The 18,235-nt window shown below is 37.1% G+C and overlaps 1 protein-coding gene across 19 annotated transcripts in view; it reads right to left on the bottom strand.

Annotated features, from left to right (window-relative positions):
- The window catches only part of RASAL2 (RAS protein activator like 2), a 384,747-nt gene that overhangs the window by 70,549 nt on the left and 295,963 nt on the right, over nt 1-18,235 (bottom strand). For all 19 annotated transcript variants that reach the window (NM_001437625.1, NM_001437626.1, NM_001437627.1 and 16 more), the window contains one exon: nt 18,096-18,202. In NM_001437625.1, the coding sequence (NP_001424554.1) occupies nt 18,096-18,202 (107 nt within the window). The remainder of the gene's footprint in view (nt 1-18,095; nt 18,203-18,235) is intronic.

Raw genomic sequence — 18,235 nt, 5'->3', positions numbered from 1 at the left:
AATGGAAACAAAGGAAAGAAAGAATGTAAATAAACTGATTTCATCCTTCTGACACCAACCTAATCTGAAAGCATACTAATCAAACACTCAAAACAAATCCTACTCTATCCAATTTTTTCAAATGCTGTTGCTACCATTTACAAGTCTTAAAAATAGTAAAAAGCTCATTATTTTTTTAAAAAAGGTACATTGTCATAGCAATTGATACAACTAAAATAATTTAATTAGTTGGTATTCATTATTTTCTTTCAAAATAAGGCTTAAAATTAGCAACAGTCAATGAAAGAAAAAGCCAACTATTGCCTTTCTCTGGAGCTTGGTAAATGTTAAGACAATGATAACTAAAGTTGTTGGCCACCTGCAAATTGGAGTATTCCCTGAAGACTGAACTCGGCTAGCTGTGAATGAGTGGTAACTGAAATAAAACTGCTGCTATGCAACTGCTCTCAGAAGCCTCCGTGGGGGTAATAAGGGACAATGCCTTGCCAGCATCCTAGCACTGCTGCGTTCCCTTAAGACAGGGAGAAGCGGAGACAGGGAAACATGTCATCACCTTTCACATGAAAAATGTAGGGATGTGCAACAAAACCCTGCTTTAATTCTGCTTGAGACTTTTTCACATCAGTGACCACACAAGGGATTAAGGACAATGTTACAGCAATTCTAAGTGATTAACTATTTTTAAATGGCAATTTCTCAAAATGTTACCTGATTCACAGTAAGAAAATGCCACCCTGTCAACTAGAAAGGACCCAGGTGAGAATTGTTTTCATTCTTGCTTTTCAAGTTTTAGTTTATTAGTAAATTAAAATCTCTATGTATTTTACATATTTGTTTTATCATGGATTGTAAATACCTGAGAAAAAAAGCTGTGTCATCTATAAATAATTCCCTTCCTTGCTCTCAATATAACTTAGGAACTTGTAGATATTCACTAAATGTTGACTAAAACGTAATTCTAAAAAATTAACAAGGAAAAAGGAGAAGACTAACTGAAAACGTTCAAGTTTACTTTCTAGTCTTTATATTTTACTTAAGTTTATCTTCCAGTTATTTGGAAGTCCAAACAGGAAGGGAGACTGTAGATGACAAGAATAACAAAACAAGAAATAGTTGCAAAGTGCATTATAGTTTAGTTGTAGTATGGGTAGTTTATCCTCTAGTAGGTTTTTTGTTTTTGTTTTTCAAATTTAAGCATCAAAAGGAAAGAGAAAAGGTTCTGTCATAAATCACAATTGTTCTTCTAGCACAGATCTGATATATCGGAATCTTTGGGATTGGGGCACAGTGATCTACATTTTTAACAAGCATTCAATTCAATGTGATTTTTTTATTAAGCAAACTAAAACTTTCATTATGAAACTTTTAAACATACAAAGCACAGAAATTAATAAACACATATCCATTAATCAGATCTAATTGATGTTGACACATTAATGTCATTATGCTACATTATGTATAATTATTATATTAAAATATAAAATACATATTATATTACAGGTATTACATTATAACATGTTAAAACACATATTGACATGTTAAGATCTGCTAGAGGGACCAATGGAAGATATCTAGCATACTTTATTAACTAATTACATTCTTAGAGATTCATTTTCATGAATCTGTCATGTCAGATTTTTATTACCTTCTTGTTATATTATTTCAAACCTTTTATGTCCAACTTTTTATGTATTTTGTTTTAAAACATTTCTTTTAAAACAGGTTTGAGGTGTAATTTACAAAAAACAAGTCAATATTTTTCAATGTACAGCTTGACAAGTTTTGATAAATGTATGCTGTACCAATACAAGTGAGATATGGAACATTTCTATCACCCCAAAAATGTCTTCATGCCTTTCTGTAGTCAGTCAATCCCTTCCTCTCACCCTCAGCCCCTGGAAACCACTAATATGACTTGTTCCTATAGTTTTATCTTTTCCACAATGTCACATAAATGGATTTATGCAGTATGTAGTCTTTCTTCACTTAGCATAATGTTTTTGAAATTTATGCATGCTGTTGCATGTACAGTTTGCTCCTTTTTATTCCACTGTATGGGTACACCAACAATTGTTTAACCATTTGTCAACTCATGGACGTTCGAGTTATTTCCAGTTTTGGGATATTAAGAATAAAGTTGCCATAAACATTTATGAACAAGTCTTTATGTGGACATATGGTTTGGAAACCACTGAGTTAAAAGCTTGGTTGGAAATTCACAAATAACAAGACGACATGGCAACTTTTTAAGGGGATGTTAATGAGGTAGAGTGGGGAAAGGACACTGAGGAGGGAAGGAATCCTTAGTTATTTTTCCTCTAGATATGAAGTAATTTTAGATGTACAAAAAATTTGGAAAAATAGTACAGAGTTTTCCTTTGCCCAGCTTCCCCTAATGTTATTATCTTATATAACCATAGTATGATTATGAAAACTAAGAAATTAACATAGGTACTATACTCACCTAAACACAGCCCTAATTCTAAATTCACCAGTTTTCCACTGTATTAGTTTTCAACTGCCATTATAACAAATTAAAACAAATGTGGTTTAAACAGTACAAATTTATTATCTTACAGTTCTATCGATCAGAAGTCCAACACAGGTCTCATCTGGCTAAAATCAAAGTGTCAGCAGGTCTGCATTCCTTTCTGAAGGCTCTAGGGGAGAATCTGTCTTATGCCTTTTCAAGCTTCTAAAGGCCACCCACATTCCTTGGCTCATGGCCTTTCCTCCATCTTCAAAGCCAGCAATGTTGCATCTCTATGAAAGCTTTTCAGCTTTTAAAGTCTCGTGATCTGACTGGATCCATCTGGATAATTTAGGATAATCTTCCTATCTCAAGGTCCTTAGCCTTAATCCTATCTACAAAAGTCCCTTTTGCCACATAAGATAGCATATTCACAATTTCCATGTATTAGGATGTGGACATCTTGGGAGATGGGGGAGGAACCACTATTCTACTCTCTACATATAGTTTAGTCACCCTCTTATGAATGTGCATATAGGCTGTTTACAATATTTTGCAATTAAAAAACAATGCTGCATAAATAACTTTGTGCATATGTGTTTTCATAATGGTGGAAATGTATCTTCAGGTTGGATTCCTAGAAATGGGATGCTGGGTCAAAAGGTAAGTGTATATGTAATCTTGCCAAATCCCCTGTAGAAGGGTTGTACCAGTTTGCCTTCCCTTCAACAATGTATGAGAGTGTCTGTTTCCCACAACCTTGCCAACTGAATTCGTTGTCATCCTTTATAGTCTGTCAGACTGAAAGGTGAAATAATATTTCTATGTTGTTTTAAAATGTGCATTTCTCGGCTAGGTGCTGTGGCTCATCCCTGTAATCCCAGCGCTTCGAGAGGCCGAGGCAGGAGGATTGATTGATCCTAGGAGTATGAAACCAGCCTGGCCAACATGGTGAGACCTCGTCTCTACAAACAATACAGAAATTAGCTGGGTGTGGTGGCATGTACCTGCAGACCCGGCTACTCAGGAGGCTGAGGTGGGAAGATCCTTTGAACCCGGGAGGTGGAGGTTACAGTGAGCTGAGGTTGCGCCACTGTACTCCAGCCTGGGCGACAGAGCGAGACTCAAAAAAAAAAAAAAAAAAAAATTGGGGGGCCAGGTGCGGTTGCTCACGCCTGTAATCCCAGTACTTTGGGAGGCCGAGGTGGGCGGATCACGAGGTCAAGAGATTGAGACCAGCCTGGCCAACATGGTGAAACCCTGTCTCTACTAAAAATACAAAAATTATCTGGGCGTGGTGGTACGGGCTTGTAGTCCCAGCTACTCCAGAGGCTGAGGCAGGAGAATGGCTTGAATCCAGGAGGCAGAAGTTGCAGTGAGCAGAGATGGCACCACTACGCTCTAGCCTGGCGACAGAGCGAGACTCTGTCTCAAAAAACAAACACATAAACAAAAAAATTGCATTTGTCTGATTATAAGTGAATTTGAACATTGTTTTCATATGTTCAGAAACATTTTTACCTATTACCTCTTCACGTCTTTCTTTTCTTCAGTTTTCCTATTGGGTCTTAGTCACTTGTCCCTTAATTTTTTTTTTTTTTTTTTTGAGACGGGGTCTCGCACTGTAGCCTCAGCTGGAGTGCAATGGCGTGATCTCGGCTCACTGCAACCTCTGCCTCCCGGGTTCAAGCAATTCTCCTGCCTCAGCCTCCCGAGTAGCTGGGATTACAGGCGCCCACCACCATGCCCGGCTAATTTTTTGTATTTTTAGTAGAGATGGGGTTTCGGCATGTTGGACAGGCTGGTCTCGAACTCCTGACCTGGTGATCTGCCTGCTTCAGCCTCCCAAAATGATGGGGTTAGAGGCGTGAGCCACCGTGCCCGACCTTAATAGTTTCCTACATGTTGTAAATATTTTCTCTCAATTGATTCATTGGTTGTCTTTTAACTTTAATTTTTTTATTTTTTTGTCACGCAATTATTAAAAAACTTTCTTTTGTACAATCAAATTTATCAATCTATTTTTAAAAAATTGCCTCTGGCTTTTCAGTAACCATCATAGAAAGTTTTTCCCTGCATTAAGGTTAGAGAATTCATCCATGTTTCCGACTAGGTATGCTTTTTTTTCACATTTTAGATCCCTAATCCATTTGGAGTTTACTCTTGTGTAAGGTATGAGATACACATCTAATATTATCTTTTTCCACATGGTTACTCAGTTGTCCTTATATCATTTATTTCAAGTACCAATTCTTGAGGAAACCATTCCTGATTACTCTAATAGGACTTAGTCTCTCCCACTTCTGATTATCTAAACTTTTTATTTATACTACTGTTTTCCCCTACCTTGACCTATAATTAATTCTGTTCCTATTTTATATTCCCTATGAATCTTAACTCCTGAAGGCAAACAGAAAACAAACACATTGAGCTCATCTTCATATTTCTGTAATGCTTAGCATACAGTGGGCTACTTAATACGTATTTGCAGAATGCTGATAATGATTAATGTGAATTATTAAGAAAAGTTGAATTCACTCAAGAAAGTACGGAAATAACACATAGGAGGGAAAACCCCCTCAAAATTATTAAAACCAAACTAAATCTGGTGGTTAAGGAAGAAAAGTTTAGTATCTGGAAAATTCACTTCTGTAGAACACTTCAGTTCCTGTTAATGAGGCGTATACTGATTTTTTTTAAATTTTATTGTAAATTGAATGTCATACATACTCTATATAGTATGTTGATTTTCTTATGACTAACAGAGACTGTGCTAATCTCATTCAAGTTCACAAAGTATGAATATTGAGGATGATGGCTTTAAGGAATATAATAATGAGAAATGATGGGTCAAAATGAAGACCTCAAAGTGAGGTCTATTAGCCTATTGGACAGTCTCTCAGAGGTTATCATGGAAGGCCTGAAAAAGCATTAGATAATATAATGTGAAATACTATTTTTTTTCATTGTCAGGGGAGACGGACTAGATGAATTTAATTGAAGTTTTCCATCTCTCATTTCTAGGACTCTAAGAATAACAGCATCAGAGATGGAGGGGGGCTTTTGAGCCTATTAGTTATTGAAAAAGATAAAATTCTTACTGCCTCTGTTGAAACAAAATGTACCAAAAATCCACATTATGGATGGTCATGAGCAAAAGGTATAATGTGAAACAATGTAATTACTCTTTACTAACGTCTATCAGGATGGATTTGTTTTTTCCTAAGGATAAAATGAAGGGGGAAAGAAGTGGGGAAATACATTACTGAAAAGATTGTATTAGACTTATTTTATTACTTCTAGAGGCTATTTCCTAACTATACTGTTTGTAATACTGCAAACAGTTTTTCCATTGTAAATTTGGCACCAAAATATTAACAAATTGGTCCTTACTATATATAATATATATGTTGGTCCTTTTTTTTTTTTAGATGAAGTCTCGCTCTGTCGCCCAGGCTGGAGTGCAGTGGCGTTATCTCAGCTCACTGCAACCTCCACCTCCCAGGTTCAAGTGATCCTCCCGAGTAGCTGGGACTACAGGTGCCTGCCACCACACCTGGCTAATTTTTTGTATTTTTAGTAGAGACGGGCTTTCAACATGTTGGCTAGGCTGGTCTCGAACTTCTGACCTCAAGTGATCTGCCCACCTTGGCCTCCCAAAGTGCTGGGATTACAGGCGTGAGCCAACACACCCAGCCTATAGTATCTTTTTATCTGCAAACTTCCAAAGATCTTAAAATATTTGTGTAATATTTCATTACTACAGAAAAGAAATCATAGGTGTTAGAGGAAGTCAAACAATTTGCTCTTGATCATACAAGTGAGATGCTAGTTGAAGAACGGTAAAAAATACAGTTCTCTTATCATTCCTTTGCCTATTCTAGGTACAAATCCTTCAAAGTTAATAATATGAAATCTTTGTTCTGGTACTCTCACAGAGTTAAAAAGACAGGGTGACGCGGGCCCTAAATCTTATGATCAGAAAAGCTCAGGGCCTTTTTAAACTGTAACCACCTTATTTTAATGAAAAAGTTTCCGAGTAACAGTCTCACTGACTGCATAACATATAAGCCCAGGTAGCTAGGACAGATCATCAGGTTTTCACCTTCACTTCTGTTGACTGTATTGTCTTTTCTCCCCATTTACCTTTAATTTATTTATTATTAGTATTAGTATTTTTTAGAGATGGGGTCTCACTACGTTGCCCAAGCTGGAGTTCAGTGGCTATTCACAGAACAATCATCCGCACTACGGCCTGAAACTCCTGGGCTCAAGTGAACCTCTTGCCTCAGGCTCCCAAATAGCTTGGAACTACTGGCATGTACCACCAGGCCCAGCCCCATGGAACTTTTAAAGAGTTGACAGGCAGAACACATTCTTACACATTCAATTATACCTTAAATGAGAAGCAAACTAAGATACTCCCCATGAGTTTCTCTATCATTATTCTCACAGGACTTCCACAGAAATTCTTCCTACTCACTAAATTCCACCCTTCTTAATTCTATTTCACTTAATAGATTTATTGTAGACCCTTTATAAAAACCAGTACACAATGTTGATTAATTAAAAACTACCAACTAATGATGAAGAAACTATGGCATAAGAGGTCAATGTCTTTGCAACGTGCATACTTTGGGTAATCAAGAATATCACCCATATATTAAATCAGTTTTCATAAACAGATTAGGAAAAATAAAAGGTCAGTGCTGAAGTTATGAGATGAATAAGATATAGTTCTTGTCTTCTAGAAGAGTGGTTTCTAAATTATTTTGACTATTGGCTGGGTGGGGTGGCTCACGCCTGTAATTCCAGCACCTTGGGAGGCCAAGGTAGGTGGATCACCTGAGGGCAGGAGTTCAAGACCAGCCTGGCCAACATGGCAAAACTCCGTCTCTACTAAAAATAGAAAAATTAGCCAGGCGTGGTGGCATGTGCTTGTAATCCCACCTACTCGGGAAGCTGAGGCAGGAGAATCACTTGAACATGGGAGGCAGAGGTTGCAGTGAGCTGAGATTACACCACTGCATTCCAACCTGAGTGACTGAGACACCGTCTCAAAATAATTAATTAATTAATTAATTTTGACTATGAAATGAATAAAATATTGTTGAGTGTGCCTTCCTAATAAAATATACTTATAAAATATGATTTTCTGATATATGACTGTAAAATATTCAATAACATAAAACTTTTAAAGAGCAAAAATTTTTTTAAAATATCAAACATTTAATATTTTCTTTCTGCACCCCAAATGAATTGTCTGTGTATCCTCTGAAGTATACACAACCTATTCTGGAGATCACCAACTAGAATATCACAGACTAGGGAAGGCAACCCTACAATATAATAGTGTCGGTGCTATAATGGATAATGTACACTCCCGTGGAAGGACAGAGACGGCCAAGGTTAATGCTGCCTAGAAGAGGTAACGAAACACTGGAATTGAGTCTTAATGGATGAGAATACTTTTAGCAAGGATGGAAGGTAGACTTCCTGGGCAGAAATGTGTAAGGAGACCTGAGAAAACTTGTTTGGGGAACTCTCAGATTTGTTAAAGATGGAACTCAGGACTGAAGAGAGTTGGGGGTGAAAATGAGGATACTGAGCATTAGGAAATGAGTCTGGAAAGGCAGTACAAAATTAGACAATGAAAGCTCTCAGTGCCAATTTAACTTTGGTTTTATCATCCTGTAACACAAGTTCAACTCAAAAGCCTTCAGCGGGCGACTGACAGTTTTTGAAGTAAAAGGTAGTTCTGTCTGAAGACATTCAAATGAAGGGAAAGAAGAGGGGAAAGGAAGAGAGAGGAGGAAGAAACCACTGAGCAGGCCAAATAAAATGTATGAAACTAGTCTTGTTCATGGGCATGGAATCGTAGAGAGCTAAAAGACATTAAGCAAGGGAGGCCCAAGTAATGATGGAGTTTAGATTTTAGAGACCACTCTGGCAGCAGAGCGAAGGCTAAAGTTGATGAGGAGGAATTGGAGGCCGGGAGTGAGTTAAGAATCTCTACTGCACTAGACAGGACCTGCAGCATAATTAGAGGGGCTCAGTGCAAAATGAAAAGCTGGGAGTAGTACTGTTCAAAAAGCAGGAAGACAATGTCATTAAACGTACTATTATAAATTAGGAAACTTTTCCCTTTCTTCAGTAGTTTTTGTCTCCACTTGCCATGCTGCCTTTTATTTACTATTTAATGTCACACTTCCTCCAGTACCAGGAAAAATTACAGGTAAGTATAAACCTTCAGAGGTGCCAGGGGCCCCAGACTATGACTCAGCAGTGGGCGTCCACTGGCTACCAGGTTCCACCATGCCAGCCACCAAACCTGCGTGTCATGCCATGCTGGGAGGCTGATGCTTCTTCCCTTCCTGTGGCTGCCCCTACAACTCACTAGGTACCTGGCTTGGAGATAGGCAAGAGGCTTGTCCCTTCACTCCCCTGCCCCTCCCCCGCCCACCCAAACACAGTTGTGGTTTCTATCTACCTGTAAGACATCCCTGGAGATGACAGGCAGGGGCAAGGACTACCCTTACCAAGCCCTGCTCCAAGACACCATGGGTTGTGCTGTCTAATCCCTATCTTTCTCACACTTGTGCAAAGGCCCCTGCCAGGGTCAGAGAGTGACAGCTGTGGCTGGGTGAAGAGAGAGGGAGGCTGAATGAGATCAGGGAGTGGGGAAGTGGGCAACAGATAATTCATTCCAGGGAGGCAGCAGGAGGTGGTACCATGCCCAAGGTCCCCACGAATTCTCCATTGTCCCATTAAACTTCACTTAGAAAATACAAATCCAAAGATCAATCACTAAGAACTTTGAGATGGCAACAATACAGCATTGAACTTCATGCATTGAGCCTTTGTAAGTGTAGGCCCTGTGTACTGCACTGGTCTCATGCTCATGAAGCTGACCCTGGTACTAGTTCAGGGAAGGAACCACAAGTACTGATAAGCGAAGTCAGTAAATGGCAGTGGGGCTGGAAAAGGGGATGAATGAATTTGAAGAGAGGTAGACAAGATCTGGTGACAGAATTTGAGAGAAGGGGAAGAGTATATTATGACTCTTAGGGTTTTGGCCCTGGGAACTGAAGAAATGTGCAGCACTACAAAGAGAAATTCAAGGGAAAATTTTTTAAGAAAAACATAAAGTGAATACAGTTTGGGGGAAGCTGAGTTTAAATTACTATGAGACATCAGAACCAAGCCATAGTACAATACAGAGGACTGAATGAAAGAATGTTTGCCAAAACAGCATCCTTTTCTATTTCCTGATTTGTTGATATTAATTGCATTGATATACAAATATAATAAAAACACTCCTCTAATATGAAATCTCAGCATTATCCCACTAAACAAACCCACATATAGGACATCTTACAAGAATGGAGAGGCAGAGGTGGACTGTATTAAAAATACAAAAGGTCAAACAATTTAACAGGTATGAATTTATAGAAGAAACTATAACATATGCTATGCAAACATGAACAAGATATAAAAATTTGTTGATAATTTGCAAAAATTAAAAAATATTCCACATATAGGACACTACTGTAAATTAGCTTTTTTCTCTTTAAACTAAATATTATGCTTCTATTTCTACATCCTTGAGTAAAAGTAGTTAGTACTATCTCCCTTATAGTAGGCCAAATTATGGTAGTTTGTATAAAAATGCAAATATGCAAAGTATCAGAAACGATTAACTAAAAAAAACTGTAGAAAATAAGCAGCCAATATGTAATATATTACATATCTAAAATATATCTAAAACATTATTTCAATTTATAATCAATATTAAAGTATTAATATTTTCAAATTTTTTATCCTAAGTCTCCTAAGCCTGGTGTTTTACTTTTTAAAAAGTTTTACTGAGATACAATTCATATACCATAAATTCACCCTTTTAAAGTGTGCAACTCTGCTGGGCATGGTGACTCATGCCTGTAATCCCAGCACTTTAGAAGACCAAAGCAGGATGACTGCTTGAGCCCAGGAGTTTGAGACAAGCCTGGGCAACATAAGCAAGATCCCATCTCTCCAAAAGTTAAAAAAAAAAAAAAAATTAGCCAGGTACAGTGCCATGCGCTTGTGGTTCCAGCTTCACAGCTGAGGTGGGAGGTTCGTTTGAGCCTGGGTTGTTGAGGCTGCAGTGAGCCAAGATTGTGCCATTGCAGTCCAGCATGGGTGACACAGCGAGACCCTATCTAAAAAAAAAAAAGTAAGTAAAAAATAAAAGATGCAACTCAGTGATTTTTATATATCCCCAAAGCTGTGCAACCATCACCACAGTCTAATTCCTGAACATTTTCATTATGTAAAAAGAAACCCCATGCCCATTAGCAGTCACTTCCCATTTCTCCCTCACCCAACTCATGAGAAACACTAATCTCTTTTTTGGTCTGTATAGATTTGCCTATTCTGAACATCTCATATAAATGGAATCATACAACATGTGGCCTTTGGTACGGCTTCTTTCACTTAGCATAATATTTTCAAAGTTCATTCATGTTGTGGCATGTGTCAGTATCTCATTCCTTTTTCATGGCTAAATAATAAGCCATTGTATGGATAAATCATAGTTTGCATATCTATTCTTCAGTTGATAGACATTTGGGTTATGACTACTTTGTGGCTGTCATAAATAATGCTGCTATAAACATCTGTGTACATTTTATGTGGACATATATTTTCAATTTTCTTGTGTATATTCCTAAAAGTAGAATTGCTAGGTCATATAGAAACTCTACATTTAATGTTTTGAGGAGCTGTCAAAAGTGGCCACACCATTTTACATTCCAATTTCTCCACATTCTCACCAATACTTATTATTGTCTCTCTTTTTGATTGTGGTCATCCTAGTGGGCATCAAGTGGTATTTCATTGTGGTTTTGATTTTTTTCTTAATGAATAATGATATTGAGCATCTTTTCATGTGTGTATTGGCCATTTGTATATTTTCTTTGGAGAAACATCTATTCAAATTCTTCTAGAGCCTTTTTTTTTTTTTTACCAGCCACTCAACAATCTGACAAAAAATTTTGTATTGATATTATAATCAAATAATACTGTTGGAATGAAGTTTCTTTAAATTGAAATTAGTAGATGTTTAATATAAAAGAAACAAAGCATTTTAAAAATCCAGTGGAATGCTACTGGCATTGGTTATGAAATTAAAGGGCCTTATGGTAGAAAGGCACACCAAGGGTATTATTGTTTACCAGCAATTCTCATACCTTGCTGAGTATAAGTACAGCTGAGAAGACCAAAATATATATATATATTTTTTTGCATAGCTAACTCTAGCTTAATCATGAAGGTGGCAAATTTTCTTTTCTACATCTCTGGCTTCAGAACTTCTGTAAAAGAGGTTATACTTAGTAGCTAATTACATGCTCCCTTAAGTGGGCATTAGGCCTTCAAAGTGTTTATCTCTCATTGTGAAATGAGAGGTCTTGTGTTTCCCCTTGCCCATTAAAACTGAGGAGAAATATCTTTGCTTTGAGAGGAAAAGGGTTTATGGTACATCATCTATAAGAATGAGCTGTGAGTGTATCTCATCCTCTCTCTCAAACAGCCCTCTTCTCCTGGTTAGGGTAAGTTGGAATCTCCAGTAGTTAGTGCTGCTGCAAGCCCATTTCTAGGAATTACCACAGATTGAGGAGGGCTTCCCTCATTCTTTAATTCTTTCAAGTTTAGAGTCTTGGTAGTATTTCCTAACCAAGCCTGCTCCCTTTTCCTCCAGGTATTTGCCAGTTCTCACCCTGTTCCCTTAAGGAGTTGTATCTAACCTTATTCTTTTTTTTTCTCTGCTCTGAGACCTTTGGTTCTAAATTATATATTTTCTAAGATATTTATCATTAGAAGATTTTAAAATTATGCCCTTTCTGATTACAAAATGACTTAAAGATATAGTTAATATCTACAGGCTATAGTTTTCTGACATACCCATGATTGCTATATGATTTCTACCTTTGGTAATAACATTTTCATAGACATATGAATATACTCATATCTATACATTCATACACATATGAATAAATAAATATATATATATATATATATACTGTTCATTAAAAGAGGTCTCACTGGAGGGCGATCCTATTATGGATTTTAACTCCATGCAGATGGTTAGTGAAAAGAGGGAAGAAACACGGATAGAGAGTCTTTAAGCATCATGGGAAATAAGTTTTAAGTATCCTCTTGGAATACAGTAATGCTGAGAATATGAAAGTTGGAACTGTATTGTAGCTTGGATGCTATGAATTGAATTTCAATATTTCACCCTGAAATCTGAGATTCTTAGGCTGGTCAAAGGTAAAGCAAGTATTTTGTAAATTTACATTGGTCATCTGAACTGATTGTGGCAAACACAGAAGGGCAACTAACAGGCAACTCAGCAATTAGTATGTGAGTAACAAAGGCCACTGAGAAAATACTGCTTCTTAGTTTCTTATGTCAGACTTGAAGGTAGGAAAGAAAGCACTCATATTCACAGGTAACACACTGACTAAAATGAGTTCCTAATATTTTATCAATCATTTAGACAAATGGCTTACAACCCTAGCTGCATATTAGAATCATCTGGGACCTTTAAAAAAATACAGAAGACTGGGCTCTAGTCTAGAGATTTTGATTTAACTGGTCTGAGGTGGAGTCTAAGCATCAGTATATTTTTTGAAGTTCCTTAGGTGATTTTCATGTATGGCCAGAGTTGAAAACCCCTAGTTTGGACAATGGACACTTACTAGTCTTTATTAAATAGTGGACGTGAAGCTTTCTATCTCTTTGTTTAACTTGGAAAAACACTTACATAGGATCTTATAGAGGATTCAAAACAGAAACCAATAGCAACTGAGTCTGATAATCTCGATACTTAAGACACATTTCTTTTTACACAGGACTTTAACTTAGCCTATATCTTATTTCCCAGGGCTTTAGATTCTTCTAAAAACTATGTAAAGATTTGTTTTTTTGACAATGTTTTCTTTCTAGTGTATTTATTTGATTGGGAATGCTTAGGTGTCACAGTGACAAGAGCACAGGGAGAGTTACATAGGAATATTCAGCTACTGCCTTAGTTCAATTATGCTTTCTGGATGTCTTGGCATAATTTTTGGTGCCTGAATTCTTTCAGAGCCAAGCTCAAAGCAAACACAAATGAAGCAGCTGCAACTGTATTGTGTTATACTTACATGAAAGGCCAAGTTAGACCATTGTGTTATGAAAATCAGAACACTAAGCCTAGCACCTGGCCCAGAACACAAGCAGTTCCCTCTTGACCGAAGCCAAATTGATGGTATCATGTAAGTAGAAGTGATTAAACAAATCATAAATATCAATAGTCACTTTATAAATAGAGTATAAAGAAAAAAGCCTGTTCCAAAATATCAGGCACTGTGAAACAAATATACACAATTACAAGACATAATCATTTTCTCTTTCTGAATTAAACTTAAGTATGTACCTGGATAACTTTTCATTATTTATTCAATTGTTCCTCATCATCCCAGTAATTTCATTTAAATGAAAGTCTAGCACGATGTTAAAGAAAAAATGAAAAATGATCTTTAAAAGAGGAGAAAATGTCAAATGACTAAAGTTGTTTTTGAAGAACAGTCAAAACTCAGATGTGCAAAAACATTGTGAATTTATACATATGTATAACACCTAAAAGGTTCCAAGAAATAGCCACAGAAACAAATCATTAAATAATAAAGAATTCTATCTAGTTTCAGTTACCAACATAAGTAGACAAAGTATACACTATATAACTAAAACACCATAGTTCTGAATTTCAAATATTAATTAAAATCTCTCTTTAAGGAAAAAAATCCATCCATTCTGCTCTTATCCCACATGATCTCTTATTAAATGTTTATTAAATGTAATTACATATTTAATATTCCATTTGACTAGGGACATTATCAGTAATACCAAGAGAATATGTGTGAGATAAACTCGTTCGATTCTGGTCTTTGATAATTCATGCATATTTTATCTATTCAACAATTATTTGTTGAATGTTTGCTCTGTGGGAGGTACTGTGTTAGGCACTGGGGTTGTTATAAAGATGATCGGAACAGATTATCTGTTGTCTAATGAGGGACAGAACCTACAAACAAATAATTGCAATTGGAATTACGGTATGTGTGAAGAAATATGGAATGAGAGCGAAAGAAGGAAGAAACTCTCCTATAGATCAGGGGTCCTCAACCCCAGGGCCATGGACCAGTACTGGTCTGTGGCCTGTTAGGAACTGGGCGGCACAGCAGGAGGTGAGCAGCAGGTGAGCGAGTAAAACATCATCTGTGTTTACAGCTGCTCCCCATCGACTTGCAGCCTGAGCTCTGCCTCCTGTCAGATCAGCGGTGGCATTAGATTCTCATAGGAGCACATACCCTATTGTGAACTGCGCATGCGAGGGATCTAGGTTGTGTGTTCCTGATGAGAATCTACTGCGTGAGGATCTGTCACTGTCTACCATCACCCCCAGATGGGACCGTCTAGTTGCAGAAAAACAAACTCAGGGTTCCCAGTGATTCTACATTATGGTGAGTTGCATAATTATTTCATTATATATTACAACCTAATAATAACAGAAATAAAGTGCACAATAAATGTAATGCACTTCAATCATCCCCAAACCATCCCCCACAACCCAACCCTGGTCCGTGGAAAAATTGTCTTCCACAAAACTGGTCCCTGGTGCCAGAAAGGTTGGGGACCACTACTTTTTCTTATGGCTATGATTAGATAAGAGTACAAATACATTTAAATATTGCTGAAAACCAAGACATTGCCTTAACCTACAGGTTCAGTAGCCATATAAATTTCCTCTTCTTCCCACATTTTGAATGTTATTATACATGAATACCCTGCTGTACCAGTTGCCTATTTTAAGTTTTTAAAAGTATAAATTTTTGTGAATGAGGAAGGCATACAAAGGTTTTTTAGGGTTCCCTGCTTTGAGCTCACTGTTACAGTTATTCTTCTTTCTGCCTAACTTGGCATCAACCAGCAGGATATGAGTGATCCTTACCCACTGGCTTCTCCTTGATCTCCTTAAGGCTAAATATTATTCTAGAAAAATCAGTAGTATCAGCTGAAAGGCCAGGGGTGAGTGCTGGGCTGGCCTTCTATTGAATGATAGCCCCTTACCTATCACCCTGAGTTGGAATAGTGACAGCAAGAGGAAAAAAGACTCACTTAGGAGAAGAGTCAAGTAATTTACCCATATTTCACAGTATTCATGCCACTTTGTTCAGTTTTAGAGTCAAAGACAAATATTCTAATAAACACATCTTTAATGCTTCAGCAGCAAGTATAATTTAGTTAAGTTTGATGAACAAACTCAATCACAGTCTTGCCCCCACCTACCTTTCCGGCCTTCTCACCTGCGATTTTTGCCCACATACTTTTCAATTCCTGTCTCACTCAGTTCTTTCTATAATCCCTGGAAGCATCAGTCATCCCATGACTGTGTGTCTTTCCAAAATGCCATTCCCACAGCCTGGAGTACTTTCTTCCCCTGTCAATTATTTTCTTTCAGACTTTGAAACTCTGCTCAAATGCTGCTCCTTGTCAAAGCCTTAACTTACACATTGTGTTGTTAATAACTTGTGTTACCATGCTCACTTATCTCTTTATGAATCTGGTCATTTTTCTATCTCTTGCTACTAGGCTATATATAGGGTCTCAGAATGGAAAACTTTTTTATACCACGCACAGTATGCCAAGAAGGTATCAATTGATGAATCACCAATACTTTGCCCAAAGTAAGCATTCAATAAGTGTGTCATTGTAAATAATTTCATTTAGGACTTGTTAAAATCTATTTTATCTGCTCTCAGTTAGTCTGAAAATGGAGCTCGGAAGAATAAGGTCCTTTGTGAGAGTCCACTACTATAATTTTGGGGTCCAATTGATGAGTGGTAAACCTACTGCTCACCATAGCAATGACATCTGAATCCTGGAACCACTGGTACTTGTGGTAAAATATTGGTTCTGTCTCTCCACAAAGTTAACATAGAAACGATCTGAGATATTGTATAAACAACTCTAAGTTAAATATCTCAAAGTCTGACTCCTTTTTGTACTGCTATCCTAAATTCAGATATTGCATAAACAACTCTAAGTTAAATATCTCAAAGTCTGACTCCTTTTTGTACTGCTTTCCCAAATTCAAAGAGTCCACTGTGATATTAATTATAAATGTATTGTGTGTTGACCTGAAAATTAGACATTCTTCTAATCAGCAATATATTTAAGTGATGTAAATCACACTACTATTGGTATTACATGAAAATTTAAGAAAATACAATGAATTTCTACAGATATCCAAGTACTCATTTAGCCAGCATATTTTGATTTCTCTTGAAAAAATAAATTATTTATCTAGCATGACCAAGGAATGAGGTACTTCACAAACCACTTTTCTGGATAACAAGTTTTATAAACATCACATATCTTCAACATTTTAAATGTTCTCAATGGATGCATGTCACAAACATAGTTCCACTTTTTAAAAAAATAGTGAAATAAATATAATCTCACTTTTTCTTGATGATTCAGGATCATTATTATCAATGTCAATTTCTGCACTATAGACCATCCTGGAACACAATAATATCCTTAAGGTCTAATTAATCCTCCCACCTCAGCCTCCCAAAAATGCTAGGATTACAGGTGTGAACCACTAGGCCCAGCCTCTTTTGTATTTAATGCTGATTCTCAATACTGCCTGGTCAATTTAAGGAGTTAGTTTCTTTCAAGGTTTTTCTTAAGCACTTCCATGGTCATCCAAAAGATAGCTTAAGCAAAGTGCAGACCAAGTCTTAGGATTAGAATTCACAATTGTCTAATTCTCTGTGAATTTAGTCTGCAACTTTCTGAGTCTCGTCACTCTCTGCTTATGTTCCAGCTCTGAAAAATAAAAAAAACCACATCCCGTTCCTAAAAAAAAAACCTGCCACCAGATTCTTTACAGAATTGTGATAGGTTTTTGCTAGCAACTTGATAAAAAGATGTCTGCAAGGATTTGAACTCTACAGTTGAGAGGAATTTGAACTTAATGTAGTTACATATTTTGTTAAGTACCCTGTGAGTAAAAATAATATTCCCTAAAACCTAATAAATATTATACTGAAAGTAGTGGACGGCTGGGCATGGTGGCTTAAGCCTGTAATCCCAACACTTTGGGAGGCTGAGGCAGGGGGATCACTTGAGGTTAGGAGTTTGAGACCAGCCTGGCCAATGTGGTAAAACCCCGCCTCTACTAAAAATACAAAAATTAGCCAGGCATGATGGTATGCGCCTGTAATTCCAGCTACTCCGGAGGCTGAGGCAGGAGAATCGCCTAAACTCGGGAGGGGGAGGTTGCAGTGAGTGTTATCGCGCCACTGCACTCCAGCCTGGATGACAGAGTGAGACTCAGTCTCAAAAAAAGAAAGTAGTTGACAATTAACCACAGTTAATTTACACAAGTTGATGAGTCTATCCTTTAATCACAGAATTATAAAGAAATTCTTGAAGAGAAGAATGTTTGGATTCCTTAGTAGCTGCCCCTAACTCTAAGAAGAAAGGAGAAAAGGAAAAGTAAAATATTCTTATAAAGAAGATAAACACTTACTGGTACTTTGAAGGGTGAGGTATTTGCAGTGTCCATGGAGTTGGGTTTCTCTGATGTACTGGTCCCTGAGATACTCCGTCTACGAGGGGACCTTTCTGCTGGTACCTCTGGAAAAAAGGAGGAAAGTTGAAACATCATTA

The sequence above is a fragment of the Homo sapiens genome, chromosome 1 (assembly GCF_000001405.40).
Source record: "Homo sapiens chromosome 1, GRCh38.p14 Primary Assembly".
In the NCBI taxonomy this organism is placed as follows: domain Eukaryota; kingdom Metazoa; phylum Chordata; class Mammalia; order Primates; family Hominidae; genus Homo; species Homo sapiens.
The sequence above is the reverse complement of the archived record's forward strand: the minus strand, read 5'-3'. Positions and strand labels throughout refer to the sequence as shown.